This window comes from Homo sapiens, chromosome 17 (assembly GCF_000001405.40).
Source record: "Homo sapiens chromosome 17, GRCh38.p14 Primary Assembly".
In the NCBI taxonomy this organism is placed as follows: Eukaryota; Metazoa; Chordata; class Mammalia; order Primates; family Hominidae; genus Homo; species Homo sapiens.
Genome location: NC_000017.11, coordinates 32926600 through 32944590, shown reverse-complemented (window position 1 = coordinate 32944590; position 17991 = coordinate 32926600). Strand labels below are relative to the sequence as shown.

Here is a 17991-nt window from a genome sequence, read left to right as displayed (position 1 = left end):
CCACCTGAGTAGCTGGGACCATTTTCTGTTCTGATGCCTGACTCCTTCTTTGTCAAGTCTCCATTCAGGCAGCAGCTCTGCCCTATTTCAACCCCACCCCTGCCCTGTCCCTTCTCTGTGTGCCCACAGTCCCTCTTGTGGTCCCCTCCATCACAGCACTGGCTACAGTCATGGCTCCAGCAGTTGCTCATTTCTCTATCGCTCCTTAAGGGCAGGGATTGTGCCTTTTGTTTCATAGCTCCAGCATCTAGCACGAACCCTCTTCCACAGAAAGCTCTTGGTATGCATTTATTGGAGACAGGGAGGAGGTGAGGAGGATAGAAATTCTTCATCTGACACTTTCCCCACATTTCCAAGGCCATAAAGCAATGCAGGGCCTTTGAACTGTAGGCCATTTTCTAAAAGTCTGCTCGTGTGGGCACACAGGGTCTCTGGAGAGGGAACTCCTGGAATGAGGCAGGTCAGGGGGAGCACCAGGGGAAGTTGGATGCCAGGAATACGTGTTCCCTCTTGGAGATCTCACAAGCTGGGGGAATTTCTCTGGAGGAATGTGAGTTGCACAATCGACCCTTTGAACACTGATTAGAGGCGACGGCTTTGTATGTCTTCATATGAACAGACTTGTAGTGGGGCAGGGACAAGGCTACTCTCCCTACTGTAGGGATTCCAGATTTTTGGCCACTCAATTCCAGAGCCCATGAACAGAAGTCACTGCTTGGACCAAGCCATGGTAACTGAGGTGACGCCATCTGGGTCAGCGGCATCAGAGAATGGGAAGCTGTGGAGAGAAGGGTGTTAACATTGGCTAATCAGAACCAGGCCCACAATTGGGCAGCTCACACATACCGTTTTGCTTGTTGACATACCAACCCAATGACAATAGCCTTGACCATACAGATGAGAATGCTAAGGACCAGAATGTTAAGAACTTGACCAAGCTCACACTGTAAGTCACTGAGCCCAAATTCAAACCTAATTCTGACTTCAAATATCTTGTTCTCTTCACATTGAATCTCTATCTCCAAGTAATTTCTTTTTCATCAGAATTTGAGTCTAATGCTCCTATTCCAGGCCAGAGGGAAGAGAGACATGGAAGGAAGGCTCTACTACCATGTATACAGACGCTAGAGAACTAGGCACTTAGGAATGTGTCTGTTGCCTGGGAAACCACACCTGGCACAGAGACAGTCCTGAGATCCCTGGCACTCACTAACCAGCCCCTTCCAAGGGAGGAAGTAACTTCAGCCAACTCCCGAAGGGCCTAGAGGAGTGGCATTGCCTCCTACCCCAAAGACTGCTTCCACTTCAACCATCAGCCACCAACACCAAATTTATCCAGAGGCTTCTTACTTGTCCAGCACTAGAAAAAAAAACTACACAGCAGTGGGATCAGAAATCCTACAGTCCAGCAGACACCTCCAATATCTTCGGCAACCTCTCCTCACAACAGAAAGGGCAGCATCTAAGGGATCCAGAAAGCCAATGTGCCAGGACTTGCCAGGACTCAGAGAAGGTAATCGACATTGGGCATTGCTTCAGGGGTGCTGGGAAAGCTCTCCACCCTGCAGACCCACACCAGGTGGATGGTATTTGAGATACCAATTCAGAACTGCTTCTCTGTGGCTTAGGGCTCTAGTGCAGGTTAAAATGCAGGGGACACTTACAACTGTGGCAGCCATTGCAAACTTAGCATGAATTGCTTTCCAGTCTAATTACGAAAACAGGTTCTGAAAGGGAGGTAAAAAGACAAAAATAGGATGACTCTGGATGTTTACTGTGGAGGCCTCAAATAGAAAAGTCAAAGTGACTTTGTATACATTCCCCATTCACAGCTTGACAGGACGGGAAAGTTCACCACTTAACGTTTTTAAGAGTTGATGGAAGCCACCAATCCAATAAGGTGTCCCCTGGAGCCCATCCAGAATCCATCCTTTAGTCCATGAGAGTTGAGCTCCAGCTTCCCTCTCCTGACTCCATATCCCAGCTGTGGTTCTGTGGTTTGGTGTACATTGTGCAGGTTGGAAGTGGCCTGTTTTCCTGGAAAGAATGAAATGTGCCCAAATGGAAAGACAAACCAGGTCCCAATCTTGGATTTGGGAATATGGGTTCCTGGTTCCCCAGAATCCAGCTGAGGAATTTTCTGACTTCAGTTAGACAGAGAAAATGACATGGGAACAGATGTGCAACTCCAAACATGCTTGACAGCATAGGCTACGAACCTGGGCAGCCCCTATACCAGGCCCCTCTCCCAAGAGCAAGCTGGCTCTGAGAATCTGAGAAGTGAAGAATTCAAGCTTTTCCTACAGGCTTATGACAGAAATTATGCCATTTGGGTATGTATCCAAATTATATAATTGTGATTCTGGGTCATAGCTTTCATAATCTTTCAATGTTTGCAAAATGAACAGATATTAATATCAGAAGAAAGGGGGAACACATCGTTCAAGTCATTGCTATTGTTAATGTGGAAACTACTTCATAGTGCTATCTTCACTTCTGCCTGAACTCCAAGAGGTCTTTAAATATATTTTATATATATGTATGTTTTGGAGACATGGTCTCACTCTGTCGCCCAGGCTGGAATGCAGTGGCACAATCAGGGCTCACTGCAACCTTCACCTCCTGGGCTCAAGCGATCCTCCCACCTCAGCCTACCAAGCAGCCGCACGTGTCACCATGCCCAGCTAATTTTTGTAGTTTGTGTAGAGATGAGGTTTCACCATGTTGCCCAGGCTGGTCTCAAACTCCTGGGCTCAAGCAATCCACCCACCTTAGCCTCCCAAAGTGCGAGGATTACAGGTGTGAGCCACCGCGCCCAGCCTAAATATCTCATTTTGAGGCATACACAGAAATCATCCTCAGGATTCTTAGGCTCTCTCCTTCCATCTAAGTATGTCCCACAATACACCATGCATATGAATTTGACTCAATAACTACACACTTGAGGGAAACATAAGTATAAATTTACTATCCACCTAGTGGTAGCTAGGTAAAATTGCAGGCATAAAGATAAAAAAGAAATCATCAACTTTGTAGTTCCTCAGCTTCAAACCCAAACCTGCAAGGGAGAGGAGAGACCCAGACGCCTCAGGGACCAGGCAGATAATACAAATAAATGAAACAGGCCAGGTGAGAGAGTACAAGTCTTGCCAAAAGAAGAAACCCCTACTTAGTTTCAATTGATTGTCCTCTTCTGAAAATGCAGATCAGAATTGCCACACATTCTGACCGATCGAGAGAGGCCAGAAATTCTAATTTTAATGTGAAACCTCTTGATTTCTTAGACGGTGGCTCAATTTTCTTGAAAACACTAGGTGAGCTAAATAAAGCTGACAGTCCACCAGTTTTCAATACTCCTCTTGCAGAGAGTGAATGGCATCTCCCCTAACTGTAGTATTAGACTGCCACTCACCAGCCACAGTTTGCAACTGCAAAAGAGGCATAAACTGACGGGGATCTCCTGCTTTACTATGCACACACAGCTGAACTCTCCAGCCGTGGAGAACAACTAACTCTATAGGAAAAAGTAGAAGGCTAAGCTGAGCCATCCAGGGATGGCGGCAGGGGCCTTCATGGCTAGCTGCTGGCCTGTAGGCACTAAATTGCAGACTGCTCCTGCAGGAAGCCTTCAGGGCCTGGGAGGCCTTTATCTGGCTCAGAAGCTAGGGCTGCTTCTCGAAGGACTTCCAAATGCTCCTCAGCAGCCGACAGAGACTGGTCAATCCAGTCCAGGCCTCCCGTCAGATGGCAGGCATTCCTTGTCACCAGCACCAGGTGACTGACAGACAGGAGCAGGGCAGTCGTCCTAGGGAAAAAAAGAAAATAGGGTCAGGTTTCCTAGGAAATGAGGGACTTTGCACAAAAGCCCAAATAGATAGACTTTTTGACTAGTATTCCCCAAACTGCACACCCTTCCCTAGGATGTTGGTAGGTATGCAATTTAAAGTTGGCTCCATGCTCAAATAAATTTGGAGATGGCTGGGTTAAACATGGTTAACTGAAGCCTGCCTCAGAGCCTTCTGAGATGTACCTGGTAAAGCTCCAAGGAGAATATAACAGGCTGTCTCTCACAAGCTTATTTAAGACTGTGGAAGCCATTTTCTGCAGCACACCTATTAACATCTCCCCAAAGAGCGCTTTGTGAAACAGTTCAGATATAGTCAATCAGATGAGCATATTCCCCAACCGCTGCCCACTGAAACATAGGACAGACACACCCTCACTTAAACATTCCTTATTGATTACAAATTGGTAAGGCCCAGGGCTGGTTTATCCAACTCAAAAAAAAAAATGTAACTGAAAACCAAAGTGAGGAGTAGATTTTTCAGTGCTGAAAGATTCACTGTAGAATACCTTTTATATGGTTAGTACCATGATGCATTTGAGAATACATTACAGATTATTAACCCACGGACAAAGCTCGGCAGCAGTAGGAGTGGGGCAGAGAAACCAAAGCTGAAGCGCTGTGACCCACTGCCGATCTGGCAACTGTTACATGTGTATGACACAGTCATATAAATCCAAGGCACGAAAGAATCTATATTTCTTAAATGGGTTGCATCTGGTATAGGAACATAACAATTTCATAGGGCTAAGTACACTCTGTGTATGCGCATGTCTGGTGGCAGGTGAGCACAGCTGTGGCTGACCTGTCACCTCCATTCTCACTGCTCTGGGAACCACTGCCCCACCGCCCAACTGGGTGGCACTCACAGCTAAGGCATGTCTGCTTCTGGGGTACAAAAATCAGAGGGGGAAAGGGGAAAAGGTAGAAGGGAAGGCACAGTTAGGATGTAACATGGCCGGAAGTCTAATCATAACAATTTAAAATCTAAGACTGCCTCTTTCTTCTCCTGGGTTTCAGGAGAGGACTGGCCTCTATCACCCAGTCAGGCGCCGCTCACTGAAGTAAATGGCACGCATGGCCCGGGCAGCCTAAGGAGGCTGCAAAGCCACCCTCCCTACACAAGCCAGTCAGCCAGCCTCACAGATCTGATAAAACGGTTGTGGACCTCTGCATGAAAAACCGAACATGCACCCACCCCTGGTCTCACCGTGCGTCCAGGAGTTTGGGGTCCAACGGAGGGTACATCGACTTCACAACATCATCCACCCTGACCGGAGGCAAAAGGTGTTCAGTACTTCACTTTCCTGATCTCCTTTTCTCCTTTTTTTTTTTTTCCTGAGACAGAGTCTCGCTCTGTCACCCAGGCTGGAGTGCAGTGGTGCTATCTCAGCTCACTGCAACATCCACCTCCCAGGCTCAAGTGATTCTCCTGCCTCAGCTTCCCAAGTAGCTGGGATTACAGGCACGCGCCACCATGCCCAGCTAATTTTTGTATTTTTAGTAGAGACGGGGTTTCACCATGTTGGCCAGGCTAGCCTTGAACTCCTGACCTCAGGTGATCCACCCACCTCAGCCTTCCATAGTGCTGGGATTACAGGCACGTGAGCCACACGCCTGGCCCCTTCCTTCCTTTCTATCTTTATTCCAGTTCTTCTTTTTTGGTATTCCAGACCTGGTCTTTAATGGTTCTTTCTCCAATTGCTTCTGCATTCTCAGACAGACACTTAGGCACAAAGACTTCAGGTTCAGTCTTTGCAGAGACTACTTTGTTTTCTAGTTTTGTTTCAGTTCCAATGGTTTTTTAAAATACAGTCATACATATGGAATGATGTTCAAGATTACTACTATATTAAAAAGGCAAATTGCCAAATAATATGTAAAGCTCAATCTGTCATTTGCATAAAAATAGATAAACAAAAGCTCTGAAATGTGGGGTTGGGAAGGATCTGGAGGAACACTCACCACTTAATAGTGGTTTTTTCCTACAATTGGGAGGGAGTAGACTTTCCAGGTCATGTATGTCTGCAGTATTTCACATTTTTATAAGCATTAATTACTCTTGTATTCAGGAAAAAAAAATACAAAGCTAAAGGTATGTAAGACACCGAAAAAGAAGGCCATGAGTTTCATTTGGCTTCACACTGCTCTACTGGATTTCTTCTACCCTGTGGTTAATTTTTTTAAATCAAGTTCAGAACTACAATTCATTCTGATTTGCGTGGCACAAGGTTTTGCTCCAAATCTTTGCTCATGAACACTCGATAGGAAGAAAAAATAAAGATGTATTGTTTGATTTCTAAAAGCACTTGAAAAAAAGATGGCCTCAAACACTCTTATTCACGGCTGTGGAGCCGGTGAGGACATGCAGAGACACAGTCACCCTCCGCGCCTATCTCAGCCAGCTCCTTTCTCTAGTGCCCTGGAGCTGAAGCCACCTCCTCGAGACTCACAGGCCATCAACACACTGTGTGGGATAAATGGAGCAGGAAAAACAATGGGGACAAAACATGGCCAGAAGGAGAAAGAAGTGTGAGGGCAAAAGGACAAAGCAGGACCCTGGCTGAATTATGGCACGGAGCATTCTAGAAGTAGTCCAAGGTACTCTTTAGGATGGGCCTGTGAGCACCAGAACAGGTCCACTCTCTGGACAATGCCACACCCTCATCTTAGGACCCGTGCTGATCCTACTCACCCAGGCTCACACAGAAACCTCAACCTCCTGAAAGTGCTGCCTTGTAACCTGTATCACAGGAATCTGCCTGGCCTCTAAGTGGCTCTTAGAAGGCACAAAAAGCATGACAAAGGGTCTAGTGAATACCATAGTGCAGAATCTTTAAAACTAATGGGGAAGGAGGCCGGGTGTGGTGGCTCACACCTATAATCCCAGCACTGTGGGAGGCTGAGGCAGGAGGATCACCTGAGGTCAGGAGTTTGAGATCAGCCTGGCCAACATGGTGAAACCCCATCTCTACTAAAAATACAAAAATTAGCCAGACATGGTAGCAGGCACCTGTAATCACAGCTACTCAGGGGGCTGAGGCAGGAGAATCGCTTGAACCCGGTAGGTGGGGGTTGTAGTGAGCCAAGATCGCACCACCGCACTCCAGCCTGGGTGACAGAGCAAGATTCCATCTCAAAAATAAATAAATAAATAAAATAATGGGGAAGGAATGCCCAGTGCCCACCCAGAGCCTGGGATGTGGGTTCTTATAAAGCCAGGGGCTGACCATGTGGCTACAGCCCACTGGAGGCAATTCCAGAGAAGGCAGGGAACTGTTCTCAGCTGAGTCCCTCCCTGGATTATCTCCCTCCCACTCTCTCAACTCACTGAACTGCCTGGACTGAGTTCAAGCTGACCAGGTCGTGTATTCCCTCAGAGGAACTCACGTGGCAACTCAGGAAACTGGTCGTTTTTATTTGGTTAATCTTGAGGCAGAGAAAGGGCTGGTTCCTCGTGATTTACCTGGGGCCATGGCAACAAGGAACGTGTGGGCCCCTGGAACTCACAGCAGTGCCATTGTTTCAGCAGGCATACAGAGGTGCCCTCCCGGGTGGGCGGAGGGGCCAGGTGGCTGACGTGGAAAACATCCTGGCCCCGACCCTCTGCTCAGGCACGTCGGCATACCAGCCACCAGGTGGCAGCACAAACTTAGTACAGCCCTTGGCTCTAAGAAAAGGGCTTTATTTTTCCTCACGATATCAAGCCCAAATGAGGGGGTGTAGCTGTTGACTGCAATCCTGCTGGTTGCCTCCCACACGGGATTTCGCAGTTAGCCTGGAATCTGGGAGGTTGAATGCCATATGGCTTCAGCTCCCACCCAGTGCTGGAGGCTGCTGGCCTGGGCCAGGGATGGAGCAGTGGGCACAGCCAGAGTGGGTCCCCCAAGCTAGTCTCCAACACAGATTCAGGCAGAGACAGGGGTGTGGGCATCTGTGTGACATGTTGGCCTGGGAGGAAGGCGTGTCAAGGGGAGCTGGTATGTGGCTGGGTAAGAGGGGCGGCCACGGGCTCTGCAGGGCAGGGTCTAGGACAGGGTCAGGACTAGGCACCTGCTGGCGCTTCCCCAAAGCCCTCTCAGATGGGTCATGCTGCAGGTGGGGATGGTGGAAGCCCACCTTAGCTGAGAAGTCTCGGTATCTAAACCCTCCTGGTCACTCTGTAAATGTGTGGGAAACAAATAGCTGAAGTTGCCTGTGCACCATTTTATAGAAGAGCCCAGCTCTGCGGCTACCCCAGCTTCCAGCCCCTCTCTTCCCTCAGGGAGTGTGGGGACCTCGAAGCCGCCAATTGCTCACCTGGGGCTGATCCGCTTGGCCACCACAATGATGTCGCTGACACTGGCTGAAGTCTTCATCTTGGCCCCAGAGCCCATTGTCATGGCAACAAGCTTCTCTGTCAGAGTGTGACAAATCTAATGCGGCAGGGAGGAGAGAGATGAGGGCTGACCTGGCTCCACTCAGGGCCTCGCCACCCCCACGAGACAAATCAGCCCTGCCGTGAGTTCCATCGCAGCTGGCCCCCAACCTAATGGCCAGATGTGAAAAGTACAGAGATGAGAGGAAACGGGTGGGAAGTGGCAAAAGCCAAGGGCATGGCTGGGAGAGGACCTGGGGTGGGAGCCGCAGATCAAGGGCAGGGTGTGGGCTCTGGGAAGCCTAAGCTGAAATAATCTGTCTTAAGAAAAATCATGTGCTCCAATTTCACCTTCTCACTTAGGGGAAAAACCTACTTTCTTTTTCTATTCCTTCATCTCATGGTTTAGTCTTCCACAAGAATAAATATCTCCAACAAGGCACCCTCAGGAATGGGGCTGAACAAAGGGCAATTGTTCCCTTTAAGCACATGCTCCAATAACAGCACTTATTTCAACAATTGTCTCAGGTAATATATTAGCATGTTTATCAAGCTGATGATGAAAGGACCTTAGGAAAAGCAGGGAAAAGGCAAGACTGACTACAGCCTTCTTCGTGGTCCCACCCACAGAGCTGGCCACCCCAGAGCTTGCTTCCCCTTTCCAGGCCACCCCATGCTAGAACCAACCAACATGGGTGCGCCTCTATCCATGGCAAGGAAGCACCCCTACCTGACCTATACTTGGAGCTGGACAGTAGAGGGCAGAAAGAAGCCCAAAGGTCCACCTGGGAGTTAGCCCAGACCCCTCTCCCAGCTCCCACCACAGAGACTCAAGGGCAGGTGACCTAGCAAAAGAGTCTTAAGATCCCAAGAGGAGACTTAGAAGCCCTCTCCTTTGATCAGAGGTTCGCCGGGTAGACACAGATTCCAATTCAATATGACTCCCTCCAGCTGATTCATCTCACACCACAGGTGCCATTTATCCTCCTAATAGATGAGGACAGGAGACAAAACCCAGGCCCAGGACACATCTTGGCCAGGAGAAGGGAAATGTAGTATAGTATTATCTTCTAGCCATTATGCCTACCTAGCTCTATCAATAACCATATTTATATCTATAGCCATATTTGTATATCCAAAGAGCCTCTCAGAATTAACTAAGCCTGGACTCTGAGATAATAACTTCCTACTAGGCATTTATCCATCCCCTGAGAGAGACAGCCAAAGAAGAGGTGGGGTAAAGAATGTTTTATTAATAGTGTCTTCTACTGAATGACACTAAAGAAAAGACAAAGTTGTCTCTTTTGAAATCTTGAATAATTACTAGTCAAAGAGATAAATGTGTGATTACCCAGGTTACTGATGTAAAAAAAAAAACCCTGATATTTGCAACTGGCCAAATATTTCAGTATAGTTATTATTCTATTAGGTAGGATATTAACAGGCAAGAATTGAAAACAAATGCTAAAACCATAAAATTACCCAAAATGCAAATTGGATGCAATTTTTCAAAGATTCCAGGCTTTCAAAGAAAAAATCCTCTGCCTTCAGATTGAAGTATGCCTGCTTTGGTTTTTTAACACTGATTGTCCCATTTGGCTGACTACGGTCACAGCCAAAGAAGGCTAGTGATGACTTTCTAGTCACAGTAGAAATCCAAATACAGAAAGAAACTCACCATACAGGCCTGAACTCTCTGTTAGTGAAAATGAGTGTGCAGGGGGAAGCAGGGAAACCCCATTTCTCTTGGCAGCTACACGGTCTCAGGAATACACAGCTTTCTCCAAGAGGAGTGAAATGGTGGCTGTGTACCTAGGCTGTCTTTCCCACAGGTCATTGAATTAAGACGACCAGATGAAATAAAGCCTTTGAAACAGCCTTGAGATTCTGTGAACAGCCAGTCCAGGCAGGGGGGGAAGTAAACCACAAAAATTCCAAGTGTCAAGTTAAGGAAAGGCCTCTTGCGAGAGGTCAGTGCCCTTTCTAAGGTCCCGTTCTACTCCATCCACGCACAGTGGTGCTTTTCGACTACCCTTTATCCCACAGAGAAATAAGAGAGGGTTACCTTCAAGATGGCAATGCAGTGGGACATGAGACCCCTGGGGAAACAAGAAGAAGTCATCAGTGCTCATCTGGAGGGGCCCACCACCCTCCAGCTCCCACCCTTGCTTCTCAACTTGCCCTGACCGGTGGGCACAGCCCAATACCAACCACTGAGAGTGGGAATGCCTCAGTGTCAACATGAACCAGCCCATGAGTTAAAGGAGGGAGCACCTCCCTTCCCTTCCCCTCCCTGCACCCAATCCACTCTTCCAGCAAGCTCCACTGTGTGCCTAGCGAGTCATGCTTTAATATAACTCTCAAGCTTCTGGTAGACTGTTCCCTCTGCCCAATGTGTCCTTCCCCTTTGCTCAGACTGGGGAACTCCTCCTCATCTTTCAAGACCCAAGTCAAAAGGCACCTCCTCTGTGATATCTTCCATGAGATCCAGCTCAACCTCCCCAACCCAGGCAAACCTAGACACTGCCTTCTCCATGTGCCTACTGCACTGTACACAAGGATCTCTTACAGTTTCTGTGATACTGACTATAACTGTCTTTTCAACCGTTTCAATATCTGCAGCACCTGACCCAGTACCCTCCACATAATGCCCCACAAACATGGGACCAGGGAATGGATGGCTAAATGGATAAGGCAATGAAGTAGCAGCCGCTTCTCAAAATGTAGGGGCTCCTGTTGGATGGAGAGACCCCTGAGATCCTAAAGAAAAGGGCTGCATCTCTGAAGCCTGAGCCAAATTTATGGGCACTCAAGGATAACCAAAGCACACCAGGGTGACTTTATAACAACCTTTGCCACACAACTATAGGCCGCAGTGTTCAGGTCTACAAAATGTGGGGAGAGAAGGAAAGGACAAACACTTTCAAGTCATATTCTGATTTTCCCCCACACTAAAGGCACAGGAAAGAGCAGCAAGTAACAGAGTGACTGTTCTTGAATGCCAGCTAAGTGCTCTGGCAAAGGACACCAGCAAAGGGCATCATTTGCCAGAAGCCCGGAAGCAAACAGTTCCCATGGCCTTACGAGGCATCTTCGATCCAGTCTTCATTCTCCAGAATGGCCTCAATGTGGGGGTTGGTGATAACGACATCGTCCAGTTCTAACTCAGAGGGCTCAGACTGGGTCTCCATGGCACCAATGAGGTCCACAATGGGCCTGGAAGAAAAGGCCCCCGTTAAATGGTTTCATGGTGGGTGACCGCTGCTGATCCTCTCCTCACTGAGGCCCACATACACCATAAAAGAAGTAAGGGAGTCAGTAAGCTAGGGCAGAGACCACTTGTCCCGGATCCAAACCTAAGCCTAGTGGGGCTGCAGCTGAGGGCAGGGCACATGGCTAGACAGGGAGTTGGGGAGGCAGGCCGGGAGCACTAAAACAAAAGAAAAGTGAAATGGAGTCAGATAAGCTACCAAGAGAAAGAGTAGGGTATAACTACCTGATTACAAAGATGTTAGGGATATCCCTTCAGGACAAAATTATATCCTTCTATAATGTATTTTCCCTTTAATCCTACATTTTACAGAGAGGCGGTGGTTCCTATTACCCAAACCTACATAGGCTCCCCACCTGGTCTGCAGAATAACTCTTGTGAACCACTTTGGTCCATCCCTATATCCCTGCCTTTTCCTAGTTACACTGGAAAAGTGAAAGAAGTAAAAACACCTCCAATTTTACAACAGGGTACTTTAGAAAATGAGATACCATGGCATTCTGTTCAGTAGAAGAGCTTTCCTGGGTCATATAAATGGGCATTTATAAATTATGAACCACTTGACAGAGATGCTGATAGGATTAAGACAGAAGGATAAGAAAAACTAAGGGTTAATCCCTGAACGGTCTATCAATTAAAATATCCCTAAATTGAAAATAGAATCTTGCTTACAAAATATATTTCACATACAATGCATCACAAAGAAATCTGCTGGGCAGGCCAAGCATGGTGGCTCATGCCTGTAATCCCAGCACTTTGGGAAGCTGAGGCGGGTGGATCACCTGAGGTCAGGAGTTCAAGACCAGCCTGGCCAACATGGTGAAACCCCGTCTCTACTAAAAATACAAAAATTAGCTGGGCGTGGTGGTGCATGCCTGTAATCCCAGCTACGTGGGAGGCTGAGACAGGAGAATCACTTGAACCCGGGAGGCGGAGGTTGCAGTGAGCCAAGATTGCACCATTGCACTCCAGCCTGGGCAACGAGAGTGAAACTCTATCTCAAAAAAAAAAAAAAAAAAAAAAATCTGCTGTGCAAAGAGAGAAACAGTCCTAAGTTGGGATTTCACAAAACCAAATGTTTGTTGCTTAGATGTATGGCCAGAGTGTGGGCATCTGATTTCTGTTCCTGTGGGTCTGGCTGGAAAGTGATTTGGCTTATCCAAATGCTAAGTGAGGTGGCCAGTTTGAGACAGATGGCTGAGCTTTTATGCTAGGTGAACATGTTCATATTCAGTGACTTTCTTCTTGGCTCAGGAAGCAGAGAAGGAGGTGACTCAGGATGTTGGGAGGCTTAAGGAACATTCTTAAACTCTGAGGTCTTTACAGGGAAGGACACCTGCAGGTACCATTTTAGAACCAAAAAGCTGAGTTAGAGTTGCCCAACACTGAACTACGTGTTCCTCTCTTTTTCTTTAGTTAGAGCCCACCCCTCCTCCTTGCCCTCCATAGGCTCACTCACTTAGAATCATAGCGCTGCAGCAGGTCTCGCGGCCGGCAGTAGCGCTGCCTGCAAACCAGCACCAAGGCTGCAAACGAAGCCAGAAAGATGGTGGCCAGCACACCTATGGCAACAATCACCACAGTCTCCATGCTTCCAGAGGGCTCCTGACTCAGTCCCGGTCACATCCTCCTCATGGGCTAAAGCTTGAGAGAACATGAAGTCAGAGCAGATCTGGTCAAGAAGCCACGAAAGAGAGTGGGACAGGTGGGTCTTACCTGCTGGAAGTGGCAAATTGGGGAAGAGGATGGCAGGTGCTAGGTTCCTCCACGACACCTGCAGAGACCTGAGGGCCTGAAGAGAACCAAGGTAAAATTTATGCCATGCCCCAAATTTGCCTTTTCCTTTCTCAGAAGAATTTGCTCCCCAGTTGGACTAAAATTTTTTGTTTGTTTGTTTGTGTTTGTTTGTTTTTTTAAGATGGAGTCTAGCTCTGTCACCCAGGCTGGAGTGCAATGGCACGATCTCAGCTCACTGCAACCTCTGCCTCCTGGGTTCAAGCGATTCTCCTGCCTCAGCCTCCCAAGTAGCTAGGATTACAGGTGCCTGACACCACACCCGGCTAATTTTTTGTATTTTTAGTAGAGACGGGGTTTCACCATGTTGGCCAGGCTGGTCTTGAACTCCTGACCTCAAGTAATGCACCCACCTCGGGCCTCCCAAAGTGCTGGGATTACACGCGTGAGACACCGAGCCCGGCCTTAAAATAGCTTTTTAAACCCTAGACAAAAGGAAACATTTTAACTAGCAGTTGTTTTCGCAGCCATAAAAACATGCACAAAAGAACACCCATTAAAGAGAGGAAAGATGAAACTGTATTTACTGAGGATCTACTCTGCACCAGGTTCTTTGTTAACTTTTCCAACAACAATCTTATGAAGTGGACATATTAGTAATCCCATTTTACAGTTGAGGAAACTGAGGTTCAGGGAGGTTACAGAATTTTTCCAATATGCAGTCAGGAGATGGAAAGCCATCCACTTACACTGAGATGGACATTCACTCTACTTTTCCTTTCTAAGGAAGAAAGAAGACTGTAAAGGTTCTGGAAAGAGTTCTAATTGCCAGTTTCAGTGTTGGAAACTTAGAACTGGCATTAAAGTGTCCATTGCCTCTTGCCAGTTTTCACTCAGGAGACTGTTTCACATCTATTTCTTTTTCTCATAGAATTCTTTTATTTGTGTACAAAAGAAGAATGAAAGAAGTCCGTGCATTTGTATATACTAGTGCACAGAATTTTTTTAGTATGAACACATCGATAGGCACAAACACACATAAAATGTAACTTGATAACAGTAGCTGCCTCTGGAGAGAGGAACTGAAGAACGGGGTCTTTCACACCTATTTTAAACTCATAAGCCAGAAGAACAAGGGCATCTCACAGAAGTACATATTCACTGTTATTTCATTGTAGGCCTCCTGCTTGTCTCTCTTTGTGCAAGCATTCTCCCCTCTCTGGGCTTTAATTTCCCCACGTGAAAAAAAGACACTCTGACTTAGGAGTCCTTAGAATACCAGGAGGGTGCTTTTCCTCTATTTGCACTTAATTCTATCCTCCATGTCTCGGAGGGTCCAAACGCTCTCGGTCACCATTCACTAAGTATTTATTGATCATCTACTATGCATCATGCACTGGAGATTGGAGATAGATAGGACAGAGACCCTGATCTTAAGGAGTTGGTGGGAGAGGCAGACAGGTGACAAACCACTTCAACTCCATGTGCCTGTGCTTCCTGCAGAAGAACACAGAAAAGAGAGTAACTGTGCTTGCATGACACTTTCTGGGAACTGACACTTTCACAGGAGTGGTGAGGCTAGAGCTGGGTTTTGAAGGATGAGCAGGAGTTTGCCAGGTAGACAAGGTTGGGACATGCCTGGCTTAAAGTGCCAAGGAAGCCTTTCTCAAAGGGCTCACAGAGCTGCTCTCCCATCTCGAGCTCACTGGACCACAAGAAGGAGAAGGCTGGCATCTGCCTCTTCTGTGTGTGTCGCTGATTTTGTGAGAGGTAGGTGGGGGAGGGGGGTAATTCTCAGGGTCCGCCTCTGTTTCTCTACGTGTGTGTTTCTCTTTACTGTCCTTTTAACCACCTCCTTTTGGCCTTTGTGTTTTCTGCCTCCTCTTATGTCTGCCTTTATCTCTGTTTCTCTTTCCAGGCATCTTTCCCTCTGCTGCTCCCGTCTCCCGCTTCTCAGTGTCTCTCCTTCCCCTCCCCCGGTCCCCAGGCCTCCAAGACCACCCACTTGGTTTCCTCTCTCTTCCTGTGCGTTCTGAGTGTTTCTCTGATCGTGTTTCTCTGGGTGTGTGTGAGCTGAGTGTGCTTCTAAGTGTGTTTCTCCGTGTGTGTTTGTGTTAGTGTGCGTGAGCTGTTTTTCTGTTTCTGTGTGTGTGAGCTGTTTCTCAGAGTGTGCTTCTGAGTGTGTGAGCTGTGTTTCTCAGAGTGTGTTTCTGAGTGTTAGCTATGTTTCTGAGTGTTTTCTGAATGTGCTTGTGTGAGCTGTTTATCTTGAGTGTGCTTGAGTGGGTGTGAGCTGATTGTGTTTCTCAGAGTATGTTTCTGAGTGTGTGTGAGCTGAATGTTTCTCCGAGTGTGCTTGTGTGTGTGAGCTGAGTGTGCTTCTGAGCGAGTGTGAACTGTTTCTCGGAGTGTGTTTCTGAGTGTGTGTGAACTGAATGTTTGAGTGTGCTTCTGTGTGTGAGCTGAGTGTTTATCTTGTGTGCCTCTGAGTGCGTGTGTTTCTGAGTGTGTGTGAACTGAATGTTTCTGAGTGTGCTTCTGTGTGTGAGCTGAGTGTTTATCTTGTGTGCTTCTGAGTGCGTGTGTTTCTGAGTGTGTGTGAACTGAATGTTTCTTAGTGTGCTTGTGTGTGTGACCTGAGTGTTTATCTTAAGTGTGCTTCTCAGTGCGTGTGAGCTGAGTGTGTTTCTCGGAGCGTGTGTTCGTGGTCCTTCTCTGCAGTCTGCGTGGCGTTTCTTTGTGTTTTTCTTTCTCTATTCTTCCCTGCGTACTGAAGAGTAAGTTTTCCTGTTTTTCTCCGTCTCTTTCTCTCTCCCTTACTTTCCCCCTTCCCCTCCGGTTCCAGAACCACAAGGACAGAACAGACCCAAGACCCTACCCGCTTCCCCGTGCTCGTCCACCCAGGACGCCCACTCTGTCCCCGGGAGGGAGGGACCCCCAGCCCGCCCGGGACGCGCCGCACGGGCCCCGGAGCGCTCCGGGGCGCGGCTCCTACTCCTTTCCCCAACTTCGGGCGCGCGGCCCCGCGGCAAGAACAAAGCTGCGGCACCCGCCTCCCCTCTCCCCGGCAGCCGGGCCAGGCCCCGCGCCCCCGCGTCCCCTTCCCCGACTCGCCGCGGCCCGCCCGGCCCGGCGGGGCTCACCCACCTCAGGCTGTGGCTCCCGGGCGCATCCCGCGACTGCCCCGCCGATGGCAAAGTCCGGGCGCGGGCGCGGGCCTGCAGCGGAGCATGCCGGGAAGCGCCGCGGCCCTAGGAATCCAGCCTCGCGCCCCCGCGCCCCGGCCCCCGGCCCCCGGCCCGCGCCAAATCCCCGCCGCCAGGCGCCGCCGTCACCGCCAGGCCCCCCGGCGGCCGGGGCAGCTGGGAGGCGGGCCCTGGCGACCCAACACCCCTTCCTCGCGCCCCCGCGGTGGCCCGTCCGGGCGGCAGACGGAGAGGGGAGCGGAGGGTCCCTGCCTGCGCCCCGCCCCGGGCTGGCGGTCCCAGGCGGCGAGCGCGGATGGGTACCGCAGGGGGGCTGGCGGCGGAGCCAGTGTGCTCCGCCACGGACTGTCCCATTGAAACCCTGCCTCTGCCACTCACTAGCTATGGACAACTTAGTTCAGCCTTTGTGCCTCGGTCTGTAAAACGGGGCTGCTGCTTGTCAGCATCCTCAGAGTTGGTATTAGGAATGATGGGATGCAGGATGCATCGGACTGCCTGGCCCAGGGTAAAGAGTGAATCGAGGGTCGCTCTTATTTACAGCCTGACCCACGGGTCAGTGAGAAGCAGGCCCACCCCTGGCGACTGCCTAGCCAGGGGCAAGAGTACAAATGCAGAGCCCTTGCTAGTAGTCTTGCTGCTTCTATTCCCACACGACTCCATCCCATACATACTGAAGGGGGTCTACTGGTTCAGGCAAACACACACCCCCTACCCTGCCATCCTTCATTCTAACGATACTCAGGCCAGGCAGGGCAGGCTGCCCTGGGTGGATGGAAGTCAGACCTTGGAAGCAGGCTCAGGGCTGTTTACACAGGGATTTCCGGAGTCCAGGGTACCAGGAGCATGATCTAGAAGGGAACATACGCTCCAGCTGGAGTGGGCCAACTAAAGCACGGGGTTCAGGGCAGGATCCCAGTGGTCCAGGTCTGAGGTCAGTATCGGTGACAGTTAACAAAGGATACAGATTGGGTCCTAGGCCGCTTGACACAGGGTCTGCAAACTGGTACCCCCAAGGCCACATCCAGCCCACAGAGGTGGTTTTTTTGGTTCATACTTTTGTTGTTTTATTTTAATTTTTTTGAGACAGAGTCTCAGTCAGTCGCCCAGGCTGGAGTGCTGTGGCACAGTCTTGGCTGTTTACGGGTGGAGGGTGTCCAGGTTCTTGCCTTTATTTATTTATTTATTTATTTATTTATTTATTTTTTGAAACAGAGTCTGGCTCTGTTGCCCAGGCTGGAGTGCAATGGCACGATCTCAGCTCACTGCAACCTCTGCCTCCTGGGTTCAAGCGATTCTCCTGCCTCAGCCCCCCAAGTAGCTGGGATTACAGGTGTGCGCCACCACGTCCCACTAATTTTTTTTGTTATTTTTAGTAGAGACGGGGTTTCGCCACGTTGGCCGGGCTGGTCTGGAACTCCTGACCTCAGGTGATCCACCCACCTCAGCTTCCCAAAGTGCTGGGATTATAGGCATGAGCCACCGCACCCGGCCTGTTCTTGTCATTTTGAACAAAGAATTAGACAAAAGGCACAAGCAAAGCAAGTAAAGAAAGAATGAAGCAACAAAAGCAGAGATTTAT

At 48.9% G+C, this 17991-nt stretch overlaps 1 protein-coding gene across 3 annotated transcripts, besides 5 other annotated features; it reads right to left on the bottom strand.

The window, feature by feature from the left end:
* TMEM98 (transmembrane protein 98) lies at window positions 276-16438 on the bottom strand. Of its 3 annotated transcripts, NM_001301746.2 has the most exons (9): window positions 16354-16438; window positions 13620-13691; window positions 13189-13264; window positions 12932-13116; window positions 11286-11417; window positions 10267-10300; window positions 8144-8259; window positions 5055-5114; window positions 276-3805 (listed from the first exon to the last, which is right to left on the bottom strand). In NM_001301746.2, exons 4-9 carry the CDS (start codon window positions 13060-13062, stop codon window positions 3598-3600), a joined length of 681 nt encoding a protein of 226 aa, NP_001288675.1. In that variant the 5' UTR covers window positions 13063-13116; window positions 13189-13264; window positions 13620-13691; window positions 16354-16438; the 3' UTR covers window positions 276-3597. The 3 variants fall into 3 exon arrangements, with proteins under 3 accessions (NP_001288675.1, NP_056359.2, NP_001028676.1); NM_015544.3 differs by lacking the exon at window positions 13620-13691; NM_001033504.2 differs by lacking the exons at window positions 13189-13264; window positions 13620-13691.
* Window positions 7306-7600: an enhancer, noted in NCBI's record as "tiled region #812; HepG2 Activating non-DNase unmatched - State 5:Enh". NCBI's record gives its function as "activates a minimal TATA promoter and a strong SV40 promoter by Sharpr-MPRA in HepG2 cells {active_cell/tissue: HepG2}" and the evidence as "EXISTENCE:reporter gene assay evidence [ECO:0000049][PMID:27701403]".
* Window positions 7306-8205: a biological region, named in NCBI's record as "Sharpr-MPRA regulatory region 812".
* Window positions 7511-8160: an enhancer, noted in NCBI's record as "H3K27ac-H3K4me1 hESC enhancer chr17:31263449-31264098 (GRCh37/hg19 assembly coordinates)". NCBI's record gives its function as "activates a minimal SCP1, AML or CMV promoter by ChIP-STARR-seq in naive and primed H9 embryonic stem cells {active_cell/tissue: H9 hESC(naive and primed)}" and the evidence as "EXISTENCE:reporter gene assay evidence [ECO:0000049][PMID:30033119]".
* Window positions 8018-8205: a silencer, noted in NCBI's record as "fragment chr17:31263404-31263591 (GRCh37/hg19 assembly coordinates)". NCBI's record gives its function as "represses an EF-1alpha promoter that drives an FKBP-Casp9 reporter gene in an ReSE screen in phorbol 12-myristate 13-acetate-treated (for megakaryocytic differentiation) K562 erythroleukemia cells {active_cell/tissue: K562(+PMA)}" and the evidence as "EXISTENCE:reporter gene assay evidence [ECO:0000049][PMID:32094911]".
* Window positions 8161-8811: an enhancer, noted in NCBI's record as "H3K4me1 hESC enhancer chr17:31262798-31263448 (GRCh37/hg19 assembly coordinates)". NCBI's record gives its function as "activates a minimal SCP1, AML or CMV promoter by ChIP-STARR-seq in primed H9 embryonic stem cells {active_cell/tissue: H9 hESC(primed)}" and the evidence as "EXISTENCE:reporter gene assay evidence [ECO:0000049][PMID:30033119]".